This window comes from Homo sapiens, chromosome 4, assembly GCF_000001405.40.
Source record: "Homo sapiens chromosome 4, GRCh38.p14 Primary Assembly".
Classification (NCBI taxonomy): Eukaryota; Metazoa; Chordata; class Mammalia; order Primates; family Hominidae; genus Homo; species Homo sapiens.
This window is the reverse complement of record NC_000004.12, coordinates 23,878,252-23,902,355: the sequence shown is the minus strand read 5'-3', so window position 1 is coordinate 23,902,355 and position 24,104 is coordinate 23,878,252. Positions and strand designations below refer to the sequence as shown.

General features: G+C 38.1%; 1 protein-coding gene across 29 annotated transcripts in view, besides 1 other annotated feature; it reads left to right on the top strand.

Moving 5' to 3' along the window:
- Window positions 1-24,104, top strand: part of PPARGC1A (PPARG coactivator 1 alpha) — a 680,885-nt gene that overhangs the window by 570,550 nt on the left and 86,231 nt on the right. For 14 of the 29 annotated variants that reach the window (NR_148982.2, NR_148986.2, NR_148981.2 and 11 more), the window contains one exon: window positions 17,425-17,604. Coding sequence is in view for 13 of the 29 variants with exons in the window: in NM_001354827.2 (NP_001341756.1) it covers window positions 17,425-17,604 (180 nt within the window). In the remaining 16 variants the exon portion in view is untranslated. Of the gene's footprint in view, window positions 1-12,308; window positions 12,453-13,148; window positions 13,417-17,422; window positions 19,678-20,241; window positions 20,399-21,102; window positions 22,408-24,104 lie in introns of those variants that run through there. The other 15 variants (NR_148984.2, XM_047449551.1, NM_013261.5 and 12 more) reach the window with 9 other exon arrangements.
- Window positions 15,634-16,210: an enhancer, noted in NCBI's record as "OCT4-NANOG-H3K27ac-H3K4me1 hESC enhancer chr4:23887769-23888345 (GRCh37/hg19 assembly coordinates)". NCBI's record gives its function as "activates a minimal SCP1, AML or CMV promoter by ChIP-STARR-seq in naive H9 embryonic stem cells {active_cell/tissue: H9 hESC(naive)}" and the evidence as "EXISTENCE:reporter gene assay evidence [ECO:0000049][PMID:30033119]".

Here is a 24,104-nt window from a genome sequence, read left to right as displayed (position 1 = left end):
GGCTCTGCTCTACTTTCCCTTAATAATTCTGAAATTTCCTGATTTTATAAATTTTATATGCATCTATGATATAGGTTACTTGAAGACCAAATGCAAAACTTTAAAGTTTTGTACTGTTAAATAGGAATACTAGGCACATCACTCATCTAATTTTAAATTGTAAAGTAACTACATTTTTAAAAATTTTAAATTTAATTTTAATGTCTTTGACTTAATATATTCAAAATATTATATTAACATATAGCTCTAAGTTATTAATGAAATATTTTACATTCTATTTTTTGTATTCAGATTGAAATTCCAGGTATATTTTATATCTGTAGAACATCTCAATTTTTGTTTGGACACATTTTAAGTTCTCAGTAGCCATATATGTGGCTAGTGGCGACTGCGTTGGCTGGCATAGTTTTGGACTTAGATAGCAACTTGCCAGCATTTCACTACACAGAAAATTGCTTTAAAGAAAAAAAAACCCTTAAATATCTAAGACAAAATATAATGTATCCTTTATGTCATTTATCAATTTAAGAAGCGATTATATGATTGATCACAAATTTGCGAGAAGTGTGAATGCTAAGACAATTTAGTTGATAGCCCACTGGTGGTACAATGGACTTTATATTGAATTGTTTTGTCCTGTGGCTTTGTTTTCCCTTCTTCCCTCTGTGTGTATTTCAGATATCATCATTTAAAACACAATTTGATACTTTGTGGTTCCTCTCATTGTCCCAAGCTCATGCTGTCTTGTCAGTTTTCATGCACCATATGGATGTCTTATTTCTTTTCTTTTTTCTTTTCTTTTTTTTTTTTTTGAGACGGAGTCTTACTCTGTTGCCCAGGCTGGAGTGCAGTGGCACAATCTCGGCTCACTGCAACCTCCACCTCCTGCATTCAAGCGGTTCTTCTGCCTCAGCCTCCCGAGTAGCTGGGACTATAGGCGCATGCCACCATGCCCAGCTACTTACTTTTTTTTTTTTTTTTTTTTTGAGACGGAGTCTTGCTGTGTCGCCTAGGCTGGAGTGCAGTGGCACGATCTCGGCTCACTGCAAGCTCCGCCTCCCGGGTTCACGCCATTCTCCTGCCTTAGCCTCCCTAGTAGCTGGGACTACAGGTGCCTGCCACCACGCCTGGCTAATTTTTTATATTTCTTTTAGTAGAGATGGGGTTTCACCGTGTTAGCCAGGATGGTCTCGATCTCCTGACCTTGTGATCCACCCACCTTGGCCTCCCAAAGTGCTGGGATTACAGGCATGAGCCACCGTGCCCGGCCTCCTGGCTAATTTTTATATTTTTAATAGAGACCAGGTTTCACCATATTGGTCAGGCTGGTCTCGAACTCCTGACCACACCAGATCTACCCACGTCAGCCTCCCAAAGTGTTGGGATTACAGGCGTGAGCCACCGCACCCAGCTGGATTTTTTATTTCTTAACAGAGAAATTCTTGAAAGACTTTTGGCTCAAATAACTTTGTGGCCAGCCTAATGGAAACAAAAACTGTTTTCTTCACTTGCTGCTTCTGGTCTCTTCAGATGTAGTGCCAGCTCGGGACTGGTATGAGGCTGGATTTTATTTTTCTTTAGGTAAGTAGAGAAACAAACAGGCACCTGGCATTCCTACAACTTGTGATAACACTGTCCCTCATAGAAAGTCGACTTACTATAGGACTTAAAGAGAACATCTGATGTGCTTGGTTTCCAAATCTTTATTTTTCTTAGGTGAGGAAGGCAGGTGAAGAGCAAAGACTTGCATCTACTGTAATGTTGCTTGATTTTACATTGAGTTTTAAGCAGTCAAACATGAATGGCAGGCATCATTATGGAGTAGCTATTATATGCCAAGCACTTGGCTTATACACATTTTCTTTAACCTTAACATGAGCCATGTAAAATAGGCATTTATATTTCCATTTTTGTAGATGAAGTGCTTGAGGTTCAGATAGTTTAGGTAACTGTCTTGAGTTCCTACAGATAGATAATAAGTAACAGATCTACATTGTCTGACCCCAAAGTCCATGCTCTCAGAGAAGAGGGACACATTTTCCAACCAAGTCAATGACACCGTTCAATAATGAGTTTTGAACCAAGAAGAAAGACTAAAATTTTAGAGTTGTAATATTCCTTCACTTCACTTATTCAAGAAATAAATGCAGAGAATATGTAATCCTATTCTATTTTTTGATAGATGAGGAAATAGATCGAGAAACTTAAAGTGGCTTTGTGCAAGGTCAGACAAACAAGCCTAGACATCAAGTCCTTTGATTTCTGCTCCAAGGCTGTTTGTCTAAGTGGTTTAAGGGCCCCTTTAAGGAGGTAAGTTGGACATTTGGAATTTTTTTTTTTTTTGGACAGGCAGCAAACTTCAAAAATTTATGGTATAGAAACATTTATTTCTCTTTCTTTTCTATGCATTTTAAACTTGTTATCGAAGTATATGATACTGAAAAGTACATGTATCATAAGAGTTTAGCTCAGTGAATTGTCAGTAACAATGTACCCATGTAACCAGCACAGACAGCAAGAAAGAAACCCTAACTAGCTTGCTGGAGCCTTCCTCCCGGTTGACTGTGGTTCTCCCTGCCCTGCCCCAAACCACCACCCATGGCAACCTCTCACCTGATTTGCAGCCGCCTAGGTTAAATATCTGTTTCTGTGCTTTATAGAAGTGGAATTATAACGTATGCACCTTTTATGTGTGTCTGGCTTCCTTTGCTTCACATTACATTTCTGGGATTTATCTACATTTTGGTGTGTAGCAGAAGTTCATTAATTCTCATTGATATATTTGGCCATACTTTCAAGTATAAAATCCCTAACAACCATAATACTCTAAGTGGAATGAATAGGTTTATTTCACATTAATTAATATTTAAATTGCTTTTTTCCTAGAAAATTATTAGCTGTAGTTTTGTGTGATTCGGGCTAAAACAAAATAACAAAGCTGAAATATGGTGCGTCAGCAGTTACAAAGCATAACACAATGCAGGAGATCACTCCTGTCCTGTGGTTTTACATAATAAATAACATTGAATGATGTCATAGAGAAGACAAAGAGAGCACACAAGCTGAACATACCCACAGGAGAGCCCCAGGTGGGAGTTCCCACTTAGTGGCTTTGTATGGCTGTACAAAATGTTAGGTGTGGCCTGTTTTTAGGTGGCCTGCATGCAAATGGATCTACTAACATGGATGGTAGAAAGGTCCACCTCAGGGGCTAGGCGCGGTGGCTCACACCTGTAATCCCAGCACTTTGGAAGGCCAAGGCCGGGGGGGGGTGGATCATCAGGTCTGGAGTTCGAGACCAGCCTGACCAACATGGTGAAACCCCGTCTCTACTAAAAATACAAAAAAAAAAATTAGCCGGGCGTCGTGGTGCTCGCCTGTAATCCCAGCTACTCAGGAGGCTGAGGCAGGAGAATAGCTTGAATCTGGGAGACAGAGGTTGCAGTGAGCTGAGATTGCACCACTGTATTCCAGCCTGGGCAAAAAAGCAAGACTCTGTCTCAAAAAAAAAAAAAAAAAAATACCCACCTCAGGAATTGTTAAAGTTGTTTTTTTGTTTTGAAAAGAGGTAGAGAAAGAATTTACTCTGATCACCTGCTTGGTGCAAAGTACAATCTGGACCCTTCAAAGAATAATAGAGGTTTTGGCTTGTTTAAAATGGATCTCTCATCAACCTCTTTTTGCAGATTGTCTCACAAGCACAGAATCAAGATTTGCTATGTTAGTTTTCTTATTGCTTCTTCTTCCTGGTTGCAGGAAAATGTGAATGTAATGCCAGTGAATACTGCTAGTGAGAACCCAGCATTGTGTGAGAATAGCTGAGGGTTTATCAAGGCATTGTCCTGACTGAGGTTTATCATTTACCTGGTCATACTTTCCTTACTCCTATGTTGTCAGTGCTCCCTCTCCTAATTTCTGGTAGAGAAGTTAATTTTCCTGTGACTAATTCACTCAACCTTAAAGGAAAACCTCCAAGCTGGTTGGTCTTAGGTGGCATCAAAGCATACATCTTCTACCTCTTGCTCAATAGAGTCGTATGTACAAAGGAAAAAGTTGAAAAGGTAACGCTATCCTGTGATATGGTCTTGGTTTAATACATTTGCTAATACTGTTATGGTAAAATATTAGGCATATGACCTTTTTTCCTCCCTCCACACCCTACATGAATATCTCAGCTGATTCCTTCTAAATTAAAAATATGTACAGTCTTTTACCAAATATAATGAGCTTTTTATTTAAGGAGGGTCTTCTCATATTAGGAAGAAAGGATGTTATTTTAAGCTCTCATTTCCTTAGCTGCTGTAGACCTTATTCTTATTTACAAAACCCTGAATATAATATCCACCCTTCTTTCTAAATCTTCTCTCTCTGGGTGACACCATTTCTAAATCACTTGTAATGACTACCACATCAGTTGTGTGGTTTTCACACTTGCTGTGCATGCAGGGACTCGGTCTTACATATGACTCGTGCTACTTTCCAGAATTAATGATAAACAAGATGAAAGCCCACTGTTTCTCTGGACAGCTACCTGAGCTTTGTAAGAAATGCTGGTCTCTAAGAAGCTGATCTTCTCAGAGCCAATACCTGTGGTTGAAAGTATTATATTTCACAAGTTCTCTAGTATTCTTTTTCTAGAATCGTTGAGTGGTTAAATATCTGTATTGCAAGGAAAATGATGAAGCTGTGCTCTTTCAGCAACACTGAGCGCCAGTTGCCTTTCTTGTACAATATCTCTGATTTCCAGTATCTTTGTGAAATGAGACATTTGGATTCACCCTGTGCAAAGAAGGCTTCCTGAGTTGTCTGTCTCTGTCAAGACAGGCACATCACTGCATTTTAGATCTGGCAGAGATCTTTGATTTAATTGAATCCGGCCATCTTTGTTGACAGATAAGGAAACCGAGGCTCAGTATCATTACATGAATCACCCAAAGTCAAATTGCTGGCAAGTGACATAGCTGAATGAGGGCCATGTTCTTCTTACCATGCACTTTCCTTTCATTTTGGGCTGAATCAAGATCCTCAAAGTGACTCCACCTGTCAGATAGACTTGAGTCTCCAGTACTCACCTTAAATCTCATAAGGCTGGCTGACTTTGGTTTAAACCTCATTACTCCTCTTCTTACAAATATTCTTAATGGTCAAAATAACAAACACCCATGTGTAGGAAGAATGATCTGCAGAAAAGGCCCAGGAAATTTGAGAACATGAAATCAAATTGGCTGATATAAAGCTTTCATTCCTATGAATATAGTTGACCTTCCAGGGGAAAGAAAGTGAGTTATCCCCTCTTGTGATATTTGAGAAGCCAAACATGAGCTTTCTGCCCAAGCACGGGGCTGCAACATGGCAGCATTTACACAGGTTGTTTCACATTTAGGGATGGGCTGTGTTCCAGAAATTTACTTGTATGTCACCGGGTTGAAACTGGGACTGCATTTTCCTGGTCAAATCAATTTCAGTCATCTCCAGTGGAAGCCATGTCTCCAAACACTCTTTCTCTAAGCCTTTGCTGGTGGCCCCTCCTTTTTTCCCCAGTTAGTTGGTAGACCCTCTTCTCAAGAATTATTCTTACCTATTTATTTATACCATTCTTGAAAATATTTACTATTGTATAAATGAATGAAGTTTCTTTAACCCCACCCGGGCTAATTAAGATTTTTAAAGAGAAAATTGACTTTACAATTGATTAAATTTCAGATTGAGAAACAAAGGGAAGATGGTAGTCATGTCTGGGGGTTAGTGGTTTTGGGTCTACCTCTGAGGCAAGCTGATAGTAGCTGATAGCTTCCTTCTCTCCATAATTCTGGGATTTCTAAGTATACCAGGTACTAACTTCCCTCAGTGTTGCTCATGAGCTTTGCATCCTAAGTGGAGCAGCTGTTGGACTTGGTATGACAGGCAGAAATGGCTTCATTTTAAATATATGATGCATATTTGAGATATAATATTGGGCGTCAGGGGCTATTTCTATCTGCTACATTCCCAGTATGTTAAGCAGGCATGGCTTTAATACTGAATCTCTCTGTTCCTCTCAAAACTGAATAATTCTTCTTCTTCTGAATATAAAAGTCATGCATGTTTATAAGAGAAAATTTGAAAATTACAGAAAGGCACATTCACATAAAGGAACGTAAAAAGTACTTATAACGTCGTCAGCCACTACGAACAGCTTGTTACATTTCCTCCTCATCCTCTTCTTCTTTCTGAGGATATATTTTTACAGGTAAACTTTTCATGATTATAGTTTTTTCAAGCTTCATTTTAAACCCTAATGTATTTTGAACACTCTCCCATTATGCTATTAAATATATTTTACAACTGATTTTAATGATAATATTAAATATAAATATGTGTGTGTATATATATATACACACACACACACACACACACACACACACACACACACACACACATCTCTATAATTTATTGAACCAGGTCACTTAATGTTGGATATTCACATTGCATTCAAGTTTTCAATAATGCAAATAATGTCGCATTGGGCATCCTAATATGAAAAATCTTTGTACACATTCCCTTATTATTGCCTTAGGATGAATTTCTAGAAGTAGATGTTCTAGGTCTATGAGGTTTTTAGAAGTTTTGAATATATATTGCCTGCTTGCTCTGTATAAAAATTATACCCAGTATAATCCTACCAGTAGTATCTGACATCTATTTTTCGATTGAGCTGCTAAATGTAGAGGTCAATCCTAGAAGCGGTCGTCTTGGTTAAGGATGTTTTCTCAAAAGTCTTGTGTCTAATTGGGCTAGCAAATATAAAGTAAGAGTTTATCTGTCACCACAAAACTGAGCTTAGACCTCAAAGCTAATTGCTTCTTAAGATGAGAATTTATTTCCCTTCTACCTCTCCGACATGTTTGGGATATATGTATATACATATCAGTTTAGCTAGAGCAAAATTCAAATATCAAAGCACTGGAAAAACCCATAACAGAAACACAAGTCAAATAACCAAAAATCTTTCCAAGACTCTGCCTGGTGGTATTAAAAAAAAAAGAAAAAGAAAAAGAAAAAAATATATATATTTATTGTTACCTTTTTGAGACTATTTGCAAAATACAGTTTTGTTTTGTTTCTCTAAGATCGAGAAAAGCTAAGCTAATTAGTACTCAAGCACTAAAAAATAAGTATCACGGGAATGGTTTGATTGCTTTTTTTTTTTTTTTTTTCAGTTAAACAATTTGTGTACCTTAATTTTCCCTGGCACTTACTAAGTTCAGCTAGTGTGAAAAAAAAAAAATCCTTCTTAGTAAATGAAATGTTATGTTATGTATTGAAGTTCTGTAGCACTTTAAAATTTTAAATAGTGCCAAATTTGACAATATGTAATATGCCTTGTTCAGTTCCACTTAAAAAAATTGCTAGATAATCCTATTGAACATTTATTGTCTAAATAATCAATAACTGTCTGCATTATAGATAAATTAACCTGGAATAATTAAGGTAAATGAAAATGTGGATTCACAAATACAACCGAGTTGAACATCAGACAAAATCAGATTTTAACCACCCTTTTATTATCTCTTATCTCTGTGCTTAATAAGTACAATTGTTGCTTTAAGTTTAGATTAGTCCAATTGACTGCAACTCAGATTAACTTTCATGTTATTTTTTGTTTTAATATGAAAAACACCAAAAGCACATTTTGAGGTCCAAATTAAAATAGAGGCTGACTCAGTTCCATAGAGCCGGTCTGCAGAAGGTTTTACTGGAGATGAGAGATGTTTTTGCTAAGGTTGTCTATCATAACTTGTTTATTAAAAAAATAAAAATAAATGCTAGGAGACATTCAAGCTGTCTTGATTTTCCTCTAGTTATTTCCTCAAAGGTTCTTTGTTCACATGGACATCACTGTGGCATTTTTTTCAAGCAAAATGAGGTTTAATTTTATAGTATTTATAGAATAGAAGTCTTTGTTATATCCTATCCTGCTACCAACTTTTGTGTTCTATGCAGTCTCTGCTTCTAACCAGAGGCCCAAAGCATGTGTTTAGAAACTGATGTGGGGTATCAGGATCAATTAGTCCCTCTAGGAATTAAAAGCAAGCAATTGAATGCCTGTTAACAATGACTAACTTGAAAAATATTAGCAATTCTAGGCAGGCCCCTTTGCTTTCTGGACGAATGCTCTAGGCAGGCAGCATTCCCAGGAATATTGGTTTCCAGCTATGTAGACTGTCCCTCAGTTATAAAGTTGCCTCCAGGGTCTTTGCTATGGCTTTGATTTGAGGATGATTATTATTCTTATGGATGAAACTTTAGTTCTTCCTAGAAAGGCTTTCAGCGATTTGCATGCTCTTTCCAGCTGCCCTCCAAACCTTGCCCAGCCTTATTTTTCTCCATCATAAAATGGGTACACAGGTCATTTTTATTGGATAGTTTGGAGGACTAAATTGACTGAGATGTGGTATATGAAGTGCTGATCTTAATGTCTAGCCCATACGTGGTCTGCTGTATATGTCTTGCTTTCCACCTTTCTTTCTTGAGAAGTTTCTGCATACATATATTCTTATGTAGTTATTGTATAAATAGTGTATATGGAAACATTCCCGAGGTTGTATTTTCCTGTTCTTTCTTGATTTAGAAAACTAAAACTACAGTAATTTTCTGCTGTGTGTAAGAGAGAAAATGTGCTTATGAACTGTATTCAGCAAACTTAAAATGTTGAAGCTCTTGGTCACCTTTTTATGCCCAGTAATGATAAACTGTCAATTTGCTTACGTTATTTGGGAATTTACTAGCAACTTGCTGCAGATATCACAGTAGACACATCTCTTATAATATGTATGATCTGAAAGAAGCAGCAGTCTGGTAGTTTTTTGTTTGTTTTATTAAAATAAAAACTTATAAACTTATAAAAACAAATGAACAAATATATTTATCCTAATAGCTCTTCTGAGTTTGCTTCTGAAATCACCTATATTCAATATAGACAACAAAACCAATTGTTTTTGCTATTCTCTGAGGTTTTTGAGTTTGAGGGTTTGAATTTGATTCTAATTTTTAGAAATGGGCAGTTGTCTGAAATATGGAGGGATGGGAAAAGCCTTTAATTTGGAGTAGGAGTGAGGAAGGAAACCCAAATGTTATACACTTCAGTCAACGTATTTGTTAGAGAATTGAATTATTCTCTTGAGGTTTTTTTTTTTCTCTTTGTTAGCAACTCGAGATAGATTCTCCTGCCTCTACTAATATTGAAACCCTGGAAAATGTTAACAGAACTACAGAGGGGAGAAATTATCAGGATGGAATGTAGGCTTTGTGTAGATATGCAACATTGGGGGCACTCAGCAGATGTTAATAAATACCTCTTTCTATTGTTGAGAAAAAATGGGTTTGATTTGGGTGTGAACTGCAGTGGTCAATGAAAGGAACTTGTATCTCACCAGGGTGTGTTTTAAGCAGTAGAAGAGGAATCTGGGTGTTGATCCAAGTGACGTTGGTTTTTCATACCAAATTATTCCCCATTTTTAAGGGTTGTCATCCCCCTAAAATTGTAAGCTCTCTTGTGTCCATGTCATATGCTTTCTTGGCAGTCCTTGTGATACATGGCTGTGCACACAGTAAGGTTTCAATAGATCCTTGTTGTCTGAAACCAGATATTTGGGAATTTTGGAGACAGAGTTGACGAAGGGGTGAAAGGAGGGCTGTGGGTAGAGAGTAAGAGAAATAGTCAAAGCAGAGAGAGAATTAAATAGAGAAATGGCCCGGGGAACCAGAAAAAAACCAAGGTTGGTGAGCAATGAACCATTTAAGTTCTCCTGAGAAAAGAAAAAAAAAAAAACTGGACTGAAGAAAAAATTTAATCTGAAGAGTTAATTAACAAAATTATAAAACCTCTAAAACATCCCTCTCATTACAGTTGTAGTTTTAAGACAAAAAAAAAATATCGTGGAAAGCACTCTAATTTGTCCTAGGAATCTATTTAATTTTGATTTGTCCAGTAATAGAAATTTGAGGGGGAAATGCAATATACTGTAGTTTATGAGTCTTTTAAATGTTGTTACTTCTGAATTCCATCCTCTTTGTGATAGTGAGAGTGAAGAAAACACAAGTGTATTTGAAATCACTTCTGGTTTCAGTGCATGTGCTGATTTGATTTTTTAGAAGTAGAATTAGATGGCAAAAAATAAGAAAACCCTAACAATACAATCTGGGCAGGTTAGAATATCAAAAATTATAACGAGCCTGTTCTAATGTAAAGAACATCTCTAAAAGATGTGAATAGGTTTTAAAAATATGATGAATATCTAGCATTGGATAAACACAAATAAAGGTATCAGTGAATATCACAATGGAAGAATCACATGATAATAATTAATAAACATTGACTCTTCTTGGCCAGGTGACCAATATTATTTCACAGTTGATCCTTGAGGGCAGAGCCAATGACCTTTGTCCTGAATTTTAATAATTTACTGAAGTTTTACATTAAATCAGAATATAATTGGGAAGAAAATTAGTGTTTCTTTGTGGGGAGTGCAGAGTAATGCCACTAATTGCTTGTATAAAAGCATTCCCGAGGTTGTATTTTCCTGTTCTTTCATTAGAAAATTAAAACTACAGTAATTTTCTGCTGTTTATAAAAGGGAAAATGTGCTGGTGAACTGTATTCAGCAAACTTAAAATGTCAAAGCTCTTGGCCACCTTTTTATGCCCAGTAATGATAAACTGTCAACTTCCTTACATTATTTGGGAATTTACTAGCAACTTGTTGCAGCTCTCACAGCACACAAATCTCTTATAATATGTATGGTCTGAAAGAAGCAGCAGTCTGCTGGTATTTTGTTTCTTTTGTTCTTTCTTTCACTTTAATATTTGAGCAATTTAATATTTAAAATATGTGTTAGGGCAAATAACCATGTTTTTCTGTTTAAGGAGATGGACAATGAAGAACAGTGTAAATTAACCTCAGTAGAATAATGCTTTACAAATTATATTTAGGTAACTGGGGGATTGTTTTCAGGTAAATTATTATCAAGTAAAAGAATTGAGCTGATTCTAAAAGTATATTGGGTTTAACATTTTATGAAAACATGTTTATTCACACAGATACATACACGTGTACATCTCCTGGGAACTTGGAAGGGTTAAGTCAGACCACTGTCATGTTACAGGAAGTGTTTTTCCACTGTGTCCAGTACCTTGAGTTTGTTATGTATTCAATATGTAGTGTCATCATAAAACAGTTGCACCTACCTGCATTAGCCCTCATTGTCTCAAGGTACAAGCTGAAAAATAATAGAAAGTAAAGCTCAGGAATTGAATATTTCTGCTAATAGTGTGTTGGTATTTTTCCCTCAGTTCACAGACATTCTTGATTTCAAAACGCAAACTACACAACCCAGGGCACTAGGGTTGGAATTCAATGTTTATTCAAAAAGGCACCCTAAGGCAGTTAGGGAGGAAACGCTACATGTATGAAAAATAGGAGCCGGGAATCAAAGCTGATCTGAGCAGAGCAGCAGCGACTGTATTTACTAACACTTGTTTTCTGGGAGCCTATGAGAGAAATGGAAATAATTAGAAGGAAGCTGAAAGGATGGGGTTTTGTGGCTTGTTCTCCTTATATGGAGCAAAGAAAACTGCAGCAACTCTTCGGGAGCTGGTATTCCCTACTGCCATGGGGGCAGCCGAATTCTGGGTGGAGGAGTTTGTTTATACCTTAACACATACAGGCTATTTTGTTGATTAAACAAGCAAAAAAAAAAAAAAAAAAAAAAAAAGCCCCGTTTGCGCTTTCAAACACTCCCTCAATGAGAAAATGTCTCATAAAAATGCATCATGTGATAAGCTCTTGCTTTAGTCCCAAACTGAGCTTGAGTCCACTTGGAGATCTTAGAATTAAAGAGTTCTTAGGGAATACACGTTTTAGCTAAGAATATAGTTACTCTGTCATGAAACAGGGAGCTTTGCCACTTGCTTGTTTTGGAAGGAAAATAAATTAAAAAAAGATTGCAGGGGATTTTGGTTATTATATGGCCAGGGCTCCGTTTAGAGTCTGTGGCATTCAAAGCTGGCTTTAATCACAGCATGATGCTTGAAGCCTCCAAAAGTCTAAGTGTTTCCTTTCTTTCTTTCTTTTCTTTTTCTTTCTTTTTTTTTTTTTTTAAAGCGTTACTTCACTGAAGCAGAGGGCTGCCTTTGAGTGACGTCACGAGTTAGAGCAGCAAGCTGCACAGGGGAAGGGAGGCTGGGTGAGTGACAGCCCAGCCTACTTTTTAATAGCTTTGTCATGTGACTGGGGACTGTAGTAAGACAGGTGCCTTCAGTTCACTCTCAGTAAGGGGCTGGTTGCCTGCATGAGTGTGTGCTCTGTGTCACTGTGGATTGGAGTTGAAAAAGCTTGACTGGCGTCATTCAGGAGCTGGATGGCGTGGGACATGTGCAACCAGGACTCTGAGTCTGTATGGAGTGACATCGAGGTGAGCTGGGGCAGGGCTCGGCGCTGCAGCCACAACTGACGCTTCCCTCAGATGCTATTATTCCTGTAAGGGGGGATGGGCTTGGGCAAAGAGAGGAGCCAGGAAAGTAGTCCAGGCAGGAGCTTTTAGAAGAATCTCAATCTTATCTTAACTCCAATAAGTTTGCTATTTTAAGGTGGCTCTGAGATGGCTTGAGCAAATCAAAGCTTAGCTGCTGTCATCAGTATCTGTTGCAGTTAGAAACTCTTTCCATGTGACTTTGGCACTGTTTCTACTCATATGCAATATTTATGCTCTAAGATATTGATATGAATCAGAAGCTGAAGTCTTTCCAGTGGTGTTTAGTGGCCTGGTTGGAAAAATGCCATTTCTATTTATAATAAGACGAAGATAAAAATATTAAAATGGATGTGTTCAAATATAGTCCGTTTTGACTCTAGTCCGGATTTTTCCCCCCTCTCTCTCTGTTCATCAGACAGAGAACTTACAAAATCCTAAATAATCCTGCTGGGCTATTTTAGATTGCTTTTCCCACAGAACACAAAACAACGATGCTGCTTCCTTTAAAACTCCTATACGTGGTTGAAAGATTTGGCCAGCGAATAAAAAGAAACGCCTGGCAGTGCAAGGTTTTCCGTTCGCGTCGGTGGCAGGGAAGCCAATGGTTAAATCTTCCTGTACCACGGAGAGCTGCCTGAAGCTGAGAGAGAATAGAGTTTATGCAGGACTGTGTGTGGAGCTGCTCGCTGCTAGTGTAAAAATAGACAGCAATACATCAATTCCACAGTCTCTGCTGGCTACAATTCATACAGGGGGGAAAATAACGCAAGCAGTTTCCTCGTAATCTCTGGAGTCTAGTGGGGGGACGGAGGACCTCGGCGTGTTTGCATTCAGCACAATGGAATGCTCTCGGAAGGAAAGTTTGGGCAACTTGGGAAACAAGCAAAACTTTCTGTGGACTCTGGTGAGATGGACTCGAATTGAATTGCATGGAGGATCCCAGCTGCTAACAATGAATCTGGCAAAAGACTGCGAGTGTTTCCTCTGGGTAGCTGGGGGCACGTAGGGTAAGGGGGAGGATCAAGCCCACACGTGATTTGATTAAATAAGATGTCCATGTGGTGCAGCGATACACATCTAAAGTGAAAATAATTTGGCCAAGGCCGTCTGTGAATGCATTTTTCCTATCTAGCGAGGCATGCCCGGGATTCTTAACTCTTTGCTGGGTTTGCAAATGTTGGCTCCATTTGCCCTCCCTTGCCTTGGTAGATCGTATTTGTGGATTGTAATTGTTATCTTGTTCTGATTTCTTGGTAAGGCGGAATAGATATGGATAATTCATATGCCCTGTAGCCATTATGAGTCAGGGTTATAAGTGGCTTCAAAGTCCTAATTGCCTTTGAGTAGCCGGAGTGTCCTGTGGGTGGTTGTCTGGCTGGCACTGTGGGTCTCAGCTGCTGTAGTTTCATTTTTCCATCATGTATTATTCCTGATGCTGTTAGGAGTTGATTGAGGAACTAGATCATATGGAAATAAGGAAGATTTATTTTAATCATTGGAATTCCTGCAGTCATTTTCAAATAAACATCAGAAGCATTTAGAATAGTGGCCTTTAAATTTTTTTCTTAAGGAGGAAAGGTCTTGGCTACTTGTCCAGCCATGGATAGAGTCGCCAGTCGGCTGAGATTGGCCAGTCACTTCTCTGTTGCACTATAGGCAGCTAGCTGCTAGAAGCTTTGCCTACATGGCAGCGGCTCTGGGAATCACCTCCGCCTGTATAAAATATTACGAGCAGCAGGTAGCGTTGGCAGTTTTCATTTTTTGAATCATTAATGTTTGCTGTCATCCTAAAACGTATTATGCCCTTTTGCACATAATGACAGGGTAGTACATTGGTTAATATAGGCCTATATCACTATAGCTACTTGGAGTGCCCCGTGTTTCACAGTTTAATGAAGGTGATATACAGTAAGGTTACTAAGATTGATAGAGACAATTCACATGACATACACCCCACTAAGACTGTCATTCTTTACTGCCCCTCTCTCCACCCCCTTTCCCCTGTCTTAACTAATTTTTTTAAGAACCCAGTTTCTTTTTTCATTAATATAATTAATGTGGCCAAGTCCACTCCTTCTTCTCTCTCTCTCTTTAAAATTTACCATCAATGGCACAAAAACCTCCAAAAGGTTAATGGAGAATTATACTTAATTATAATGATTCATTATCATCAGTGCAGTTAAGCTAATTTATTGTCTGCTCCTTAACTAAGAGAAAAGTCTGTTGGGGTGAAATAACATACAATAATTAGCCTTTTGTGTTTAGTGACTGCTTTATCCTCTTAAATCTTATTATAAAATTGAGGCTACAGTTGTGAAATAGCTGTCATAGTTGCAAAGAGGCAGTAGAATGTGTCTGTGTAATTGCAATAAAGCACACCTGTTACAGAGGTATAGGGAAACAGTAAATATCAGCATGTCAGATGAGGACAGTTACAGGGCTTGGACTGTTAAGTCTGGCATTGTCCAAAGGCCAAATATAAATTAATAACAGGAACACTTGCTACCACTAATGTGTTTTAGATTAGCAGGATAATGCCACATTCAGAAGCACAGATTTTATTAGCATGTCAACATTGGCAAGAACACATGCACTTTTCTCAACCATAACATAAAAGCAAAATGAGAGAGAGAGAGAGAGCGCACGAGCGAACAAGTGAGAGGAAGGAAAGGAATATGTAAATGACAAGATAGCACCAATACAACAAATTGACCTGGTCTTTTCAATGGTTTTCAAAAGTTATTTAAAAATACATATTTATGGAAGGTTAAAGGGTTATGAGCAAGTCATGCCAAAGAGGGCAGTTAAAGAGAGGGACAGGAAGAAGTTGTCCACAAATCAGTATGCTACTTTAGCATTCCAAAACATGGTTGGTTCCTAAGTTTCACAACAGGAACTTAAGCCATATGTAGACAGCCTACATTTTCTTGATTATTTTTACTTTTGTGTTGCTATTTTTGTTGTTCATGTTTTTTTTTTTTTTTTTTAAAGACTATGCCCCTATAAAATCCTAGTGTATCTTGCACCGTTGAAAAAGTTCTCCCCCATCTCTGAATTGGTGACATTGAGGAAAAGTTAAGATAGTGTGTTTGGGCTTGGAGGATCAGCTGTGTGGGCAAGAATGGAGTCTGGGCAGTGTTACATCCACAACCAAATATGAGCATTGTACCAGAACGAGATCTCTTCAGCCCAGCCTCCAGTTACTTATATGCCTTGTCAAGTATACTGATCTGTAATTTTGGGCTAACTCAGATAATAAAAGGAAAGACCAATAAAATGATAAGGAAAGAGTTTTGATGGTGAGGAGGGCCCTTTCTTTGCATTCCCTTGTCCCTGCTGCCAGGGATCTCACTGGGGTCCAATGGTCTTAGAGAAGGATGGCAATGATTTTCAGTCTCCCCCCATCCTCCCCTTACCAACTGCTGACTCCATTACCCAGTACTTACTTCTCAGCGTGTTGCTTTTGATCACGCTGCTGCATATGACCTGTGTAATGTGGCCTGCTAGGAATCCCTGCCAGGGATAACAGGGGTGCTTGAGAAAGAAAATCTGCATAAAACTTATTTCATTCAAAATGTAAATGTCAAGGAGCATCTTTCATTTTATGCCTAACTGCAGCCTGGATGTGAACAATTCCACAGCATCTCTCCTGACCTTGGAAGGCAGGGCCATGAGGGTGCTGCGTCAGTGTGTGCCTCCTGATTTAGACACCCCCACTTACAGGTGGATGAAGTCCTTACTGTTCTGGCAATGCCAGACCCCTGCAATAGGAGTTCCTGCAGTGTTCTTTACTGTCTGCGGACTGACATTAGCGGTTAGGTAGCCAATTCAAGTTTAGGAGACCACCTCATTGGTAAGGGGAGTCCACTTGCCTCCAAAAGCCGCATGGTAAAACAGTTAAAAAGACTGTCTATTTCATGTAAGGGGATGAAATGCTTTGACAATCTAAAATAATCTTGGTGATAAGCAGCCCAGCCATGGTAGAGATATTTTAAACCTCTCAATATGTAGAAATTATTTTAAAACTCTAAACAAAAATAGTTATTTTGAATTCACGTAGAGCACAGTTTAGATATACATAAATAATGAACAAAATATAGTGATGGTATGCTATTGTGAGTTTTCTTTTCCAGGTACTAGGTGATTCCAACCGTACACACACATACGTGTGCAAACACATACACACACACACACACATCTTGCAAGTTACATACAAAAGCCGTATAGAAAAAAAATTATGATTTTTGTCCTTCATCTTAAGGAACTTGCTTTTGCCTTTAAGGATGAAGTCCAGAAAGTCATGAAGAGTCAAATAAGAGTAAATGATTTAAATAACAATTCAGGAGAACCACAGATGAGTCAAAGGGCTTTGCATCATTAGTTGCTAAATGAATTATTTGGATTATAATGCTTAAAAGGAGTGTAAATGGAGAAAATTTTTCCTAGTGTAGTTCCTCTGTTCTTTTTCCATTTAGCAATAGTTTATTGAGTGTCTATTATGTGTGATAAAATTTCCAAGGTAAAATCAAGTTTGTATTATGGTTAACTATAAGACAGTTTAAAACTTTGGAAGCAGTAACTATCAAACAGGTATCAAGGATTTTGTACAAAGAGGTCCAAAAATATCTAGTTGATTTCTAACTGGAAGAATCAGAGAAAGCTTCGTGGAGCTTGGTATTTACCATGTGTTTGGAGGTAGCTTTTGGATGGAATAAAGCAGGGAAATTATCCTTCAGGAGCCAAGTGAGTAAAGATTTTAGGATGTTTTTCCTGGTGATTAAAGTGCCAGAAACTAGCTTTGGTAGTGTAGTTGAATTAACTAGGCTTAATTCCTATCACATGCTATTGCAGTTTAATAAATTCCTGTGGTTAATGGAAGCTTTTTTAAATTTTTTTTTTCTGCCTCCTGCAGTGTGCTGCTCTGGTTGGTGAAGACCAGCCTCTTTGCCCAGATCTTCCTGAACTTGATCTTTCTGAACTAGATGTGAACGACTTGGATACAGACAGCTTTCTGGGTGGACTCAAGTGGTGCAGTGACCAATCAGAAATAATATCCAATCAGTACAACAATGAGCCTTCAAACATATTTGAGGTAAGGACATCCTTTGGAAACATTAATTTTTCATTGAGTTTGGCTTGGGCCCGACTAACATGGTAATAGACCTGAATGCATAATGAGTTCTTACTTTGCTATCATCAAAAGACTTTTCATCACAGTTACATACTTTCTAATTTATGGAAAAACAGCATTTGGAAAACAAATGTTTTGTTTTTATTTTTTTAAAGATTTAAAAAATAAATCAACTAGGGACTAGGAATCAACAACTGTGAGTGAGTTAAACTGTGTTGAAATACTAAAGGGTTGTGAAAGATTAGTGACAAAGAAGAACAAAAGTCTAAACCTGTTTATTCCTGTCTATTTCCCACAGAAAGAATGAGCAATAAATGGTACCTCATATAAATTAATAAATAAGAAGGCCTTTCTTTTTAACCAAGGGGGTAGATGTCTACCTTTGTTTGCTTTACTAATTAGGTGAGCTCTTTTGATTATTATTATTAATTATATTTTTGGTTCATATCTCTAATTTCTTTATATAATGGGAATTGCTAAACTTGACTAATCTACTGTATACTTATAAATCAGTCAAAATTCATTTACTTTTCAGTAGCAAGAATTACCTCCGTGACTCCGGACTCTTATTATAAGCCTACCCTATAATAAAGAATGTTAATCTATTCCTATTAAAGTGTTACTTTGAGAAAAGGAATTCTTTCCCACAAGATCAGTACTCATTTACTTGAAATACATTATTTTTTATAGGAACAAACATTTAGTGAGTACTCTGGCAAGTGAATTAAACGAAGGATGACATATCGGCTAGTTTTCTTTATCACAACCGCCAGTGCCATCATCATCATCATCTAATGTTTTCTGAGCACCTACTATGTGCTGGACTTTTCTTATTCATCAGCAAAGACATTTCTTATACTTCCATGTTATTTGGTTGAAATCTGAGTCTTAAGAAAGCCAAGTTTAAAATATTAACTGAGTTTTGCTGGAACCCAGCATATAATACATGCTGAATAAATGTTTGTTAAATCATGAGAGAATGATGAATATATTAATGTTGATAACAATAATAGTAATGACAATAATGGCCAACATTTTGGTATACTCATGCTTAATATATGTCATCTCACTTATCCTTGAAAACAACCTATTGTTAGGTCCTATTGTTATCATTCCTGTTTTACATATGCAGACACTGAAACTCAGAGAGGTTATTTGTTTTCCCCAAATCACACAGTTGACAATAAAGACCTGGGATTTGAACCCCAAATTTATCGGACTTCAAAGTTTATATCCTTGATAAAAATAGAGAACCCATGAATTTGGGTGACAGCCATCCTTTACAAAGACATATCAAGCTGCTTCTTTGCTCAATATATTTAAAAATAGAACAGAATCTTTCCTTTCAGTGTTGGTTGGCACGGAGGTAGAGTTAGCTGGTGAGCCGAGACGGCTGTAGGTTCTGCCTATGGCTGAGATTTTGTAATACCTCTGGAGATTAAGTGGGTTTTAGAAGAATGCTTAAGGTAGTAGAGTTTGGACTGGGGAGACAGAACAAGGTGGAGGGAACACTGAAGGTTGTGGTTAGTTCTACTTTCCCAGGCTTCTCAGCCGGGTCTTAGAAAGTTCATGTGAGGACTTGGCCAGTTAGAACTGGTAAATTGAACATTCCTCACTCAGTACACTTGTCAAGTTACAGGCCCATTCTAAGTCATGCTGCATTAAATAAACAATGCTTTAAAAAATGTCCATCTCCATAGACCTCTTATCTAAAAATCACCTATTTCATATCAGGTGAATGCCATGCATTTTGTAGAGGCTAGAGAATAACTTAGCGGTAGGGGAGATGGCATAGGAGTCAATGCCTCTCTGGTGGGCTACTTTAAAAAAAATACAACTTTCTCCATAACTTTTATGTCCCTATATTTTGTGTTGTGGTATTTGTGAGAGGTACTTTGCATTTATACCTTCAGGAGACTTGGTTCAGCATCTAGTTAATTATCTACATGTAGGTGCTTAATATATGCCATGCCACCCTTTTTGTCTCCCTGTATCATATTCTATGCTAATAAAATTATTTTCAGCACTCTAAAACAGAAGTTCATTTAATTTAGTCTCTCATTAGGTCATTTTAAACCAATGATTCTCAACCAAAGGCGATTTTGGTCCCCGCCCCACACCCCAATTCACGGGACATTTGACAATATCTGGAGGCATGTTTGGTTGTTATCCCTGGGGACAAGGGGATGCTACGAGCATTTATTGAGTAGAGACTAGAGACAAGGAATGCTGCTAAACATCCAACAGCCTACAGGACAGCTCCCACCACAAAAAATGATTCAGCCTCCAATGAAAAAAGCACTGAGGTTGAAAAACCCTGCTTTTAAATAAAGTCACAGGCTTCCCCTTTATAAATTACTAATGATTAATTGGTCAGATTTCTGAGAGAAGACATAGTAAGCTACTGGATATAAAGAATGAGAAGTCGTATAACGATATCGGGATGCCTGGGGCTCCAGGACTAATATGTCAGGTATCCTCTTAGTGTCAGAGGGCAAAAGTGACTGTTTAGGTAAGTTCCCATAACAGTTTTCTCTGATGTCACAAAGCCCATTCTTTATCGAGGCAAAGGGTAAAGTCATATGTGGCAATGCCCTTACCAACAGCAGCAGCTTCAGGAGTATTTGCATGGCATGAGGACACCTCCACTCTTTGCCCTCTAGTGTTAAACTCAGGCATCTTTTCTGTAATGTGAAAGGAAAGCGTGTTTTCAGCACAGGTGACATTCTAAAATTGGGTCTTCCCTGTGAAGAAGGTTCGTATGAAACCAGATAACTCTTTCATGGCCACAGGTTTGTGTTGCTTCTACCAAAGCAGCATTTCAGGGAAGTGCCTTCCCAGGGCCGGCCACTCACAGTGGACTTTTCACCTGCACTCACCTTCTTCCAATTTGCAAAGCCCTGCCTCATCACATTTGAGAAGGCCTTGTACTTGAGTAAGTTAAACAGTCACGGGCTCTGCTGTCTCTGATCTGACAATAACAAGCATTATCTACTTTGGATTCCCAGAATAAAATCAGGCACTGAGTAGTTAAATGCTTTTCCCTGACTCAAGTAGCACGTCAATGACACCACTGGAAACTGGCCATCGACTGAATTCTCATCAAAGCAGAAAGTGGGATTTAGGGATATATAATAGAGTGGCAGAGTCTTAAAATGTTGAGAGTAAATTATGTATCTCTTCTTTTTGTTTCTTCCATATGTTTGAATCTAAGTTTAATTTTTATTTAACATCACAAACTTAATAATGATAAAAAATGAAGCTGAATGTCACAATTTGAGAAAGGGAATTCTGGGTGGTGGCAGAGGGGTAGCAACATGCAATAGCACATGTTGGTTGAGTAACTGGACACGCAAACAATGTTCTCTGCTTACGCAACCTGTGTTTGGATGTGTAAATGCAGGTGACCAGGTACGATTCAGAAGCCACTTTAAAAAACAAAGCAAAAGGCTCAGAGGTAACAGCCTCCAGTGAATCTGATCCATGTGTAAGGAAAACAGGATGCGTCCCTGGACCGGCTGGTAGCAAGATTTATGTTTCAGAATATTGCAACATAACTTCCTTCCCTCTGTTGCCTTTGTGCATTGTTTGAAGGAGGAGAATAAAGGACTACTTTTGCAGCACAGCAGTCTGTAAAGATGGATGGCATGGGGTTAGTTTAAATAGCATATTGGCCTTTCTGGGTCACTGTGGGCAACCTTGTCCCTGGTTTATTTTAACACCTGCTTTAATGCCTCCATGATACAACTGAATGGGCATCTTTCATTCATTCGTCTGTTACTTCTGAATGAAGCTACTTGGGGTTCGTTAGAATGATGGCAAGTGAGAATGCAGTCGTCTCTAGGTCATTACTTGTAATACGTTCTGAGGACTGCCTTTGCTGATGGGGGGAGAAGGACTCTCACAGCTGTAGCCAGCGTTCATGTTTGGTCATTGCTGGAACTCTCAGGAAGCCTGAAACTGTGAACTTTGTAGCAGAAAAGGGTGAGTGGTGGTTTTGTATTTGTGTGTAAATTATCCTGCTATATGCAATCAAGGAAATGAATGTGGACGCTTTCAAGGCTACTTGGTTATTCTAGTGGGAATATAGATACTTTACTTTTCTTCATTTGGCTTTCAGTTATATTCTAAATTTTGCAAAAATGGACATATATTATGTACCTATCAAAAAGTTAAAAATAACAAATATTGGCAGTTCAACAGACCATGAGCATTTGAGGAGTAGGGAATCTGCCTGTCTTGTTCACTGACATTTTTCTAGATATTTTCTCAGAAAATAGCAGAAAGTAAGAACTCAACAAATACTTGTTGCATAATGAGTGAGTTGATCTTCATGTGTTTATTGATAGAATGAACTGCGTTAGGTAATGTGAAGATTATATACAAAGCACAAAAGAAGGCCTGTGTCCTAAAGGACTTTAAATCTAGTTTGGGAGGCAAAATGAACAAATGTAAAACAATTAGGAAACCATGCAAGGCTGTGTATACAAATATACAAGTATATGCATATGTTTTTAGTTCTTAGCAATTCGAAAACAATACAAGACTGTATATTCATGTATATGTATATATGTGTATGTACCTACATAGGATTATATATATATTTGCAATTTGCAAACATTGCGAGCTCGTGTATGCATATATGCATGCATATATATGTGTGTGTATGTATGTGTATTTCTAGCTGAGGAGATAAACAGCAAGAATAAATTCACAAAGCCTTGTAAGAGAAGAGCAGAGCGTTTTCATAGACGGGATGTGGAGGTGAGCTTGGTTTACTCAAAGTAAAATACATATTAATGGGAACGTGGCAGTAGTGGGAGTAAGTTTGGATGTAAGGTAGGTACAAAATTACGGTGGGTCATGAGAACCCAGTTGGAAATGTTTAGAGTCTGTTTAGAAAGTAGGATGTCATTGAAGATTTTTTAGCAGATCAACATAATGGAGGTGGTATTTAAGAGTGATAATGCTGACAGTCGTAAGAGGTGTAGGCAAGTAGGAAATACGGAAAATCAGACAGCAGGCAGTGCTGCATTCCAAACCCAATGTGATACAGGTACAGGGAAGGGACAAGGTGATAGCAGAGGGGGTGGCATTCAGGGAACAGATTCAAAGTACCTTGAAGGAAAATTCCATCAGCCCTGATAACTCTGAGTTCGGATAGAGAGAGAGGTGGTAAGGAATGCTAACTCAAAGATATTCCAAAGAGAAGCAGAACCTCGTGGATATCGTTCCTGGTTAAGTTTCTGCTCACCTTTAGGAGCTGAAGTACTTTCCTAGACTCGTGAGTCATTTTACAAAGGGGCCCTCTATCTTTCCACTGCCTCAGGGACAGAACATATTTAACCCAATCCACAAATTTACGTGGTGTCTGCTTTTTTTCACTTGTCTCCTTGGAGGAAATCCTGCAGCCTTCCATGGTAATGAATTCCTGCTTCTGACTGTGCCTGTGGTCAGACAGACTTTTCTATGAATGGCAAACCTCCTGGAATTTTAACAAAACAAATAGACAAGAAAAAAAGAATGCATGTATATACAACCTCACCTTAATTTAATCATTGGAAGAATAAATTCTTTTTTGTTATGTGGGAGGACTGAATTAATTTACAATAATCACTTTTATAAGATTTCTGGGATTTCCAATTTGCAATCAATAAATGTTTGTCATTTAAATTAAATTTACGGCCCACAGCCAGATTTTTGCCACACTTGGTAATGACACTTACAGAGAACATAGACTTCAAGTAAGAAAATAATAGCCATTTAAGTGGAGAGATAATTGGCTGTAACATAAGAACATTGAAGAATGTTGAAACTCATGGAGACTTATGGAGTATTTTAAAAATTTATGTTGTACTTATCTTTGCATTTGTAGTCTACCACAAAATTCCAAATTCTGGGTATAAATCAGTTAGATGTTCATCTTGGAGAGTCATAAATCAGGAAGCAACAATCTGACCCAGCCTGTGTGCTGCTTTATTTTCAGCCTCTCCTGTCGGCTTATCTTGCAGGGAGACTAAATAGTGTTGTTCGTTTGTGTGTGTGTGTGTTCATCTACACACCTCATTTAAGCACTGTGGTTTTAGACTTCTCGGCTTGATAACATCTGGCTTATCTTGGGAACATCTGGTTTATCACCCTATTTCTTCCCTGCCATTATGCTGACCACTGGAAAAATATGGCTCAGGAGTTCTGACCCACAGGGCTCTGTCTCTTGGTATCAACCCCTGCTAATAAATAGCAACTCACAGGATGCAGGTTACGTGACCATCTTTCACTGGCACTAACTTTCCTGCTGGTGGCTTTTGTTAATGGAAGGTGTGGCTAGGAGAGATGAAATTGGCTGCTTTTTTTTTTTTTTTTTATGGACGTTGATTCGGTTCTTAGCCATTTGCAGTTTGCAAAGTGAGAATGTGTATGTTTCATTAGGCACAAGGATTTCAGAAAGTGCTATTTTGTAT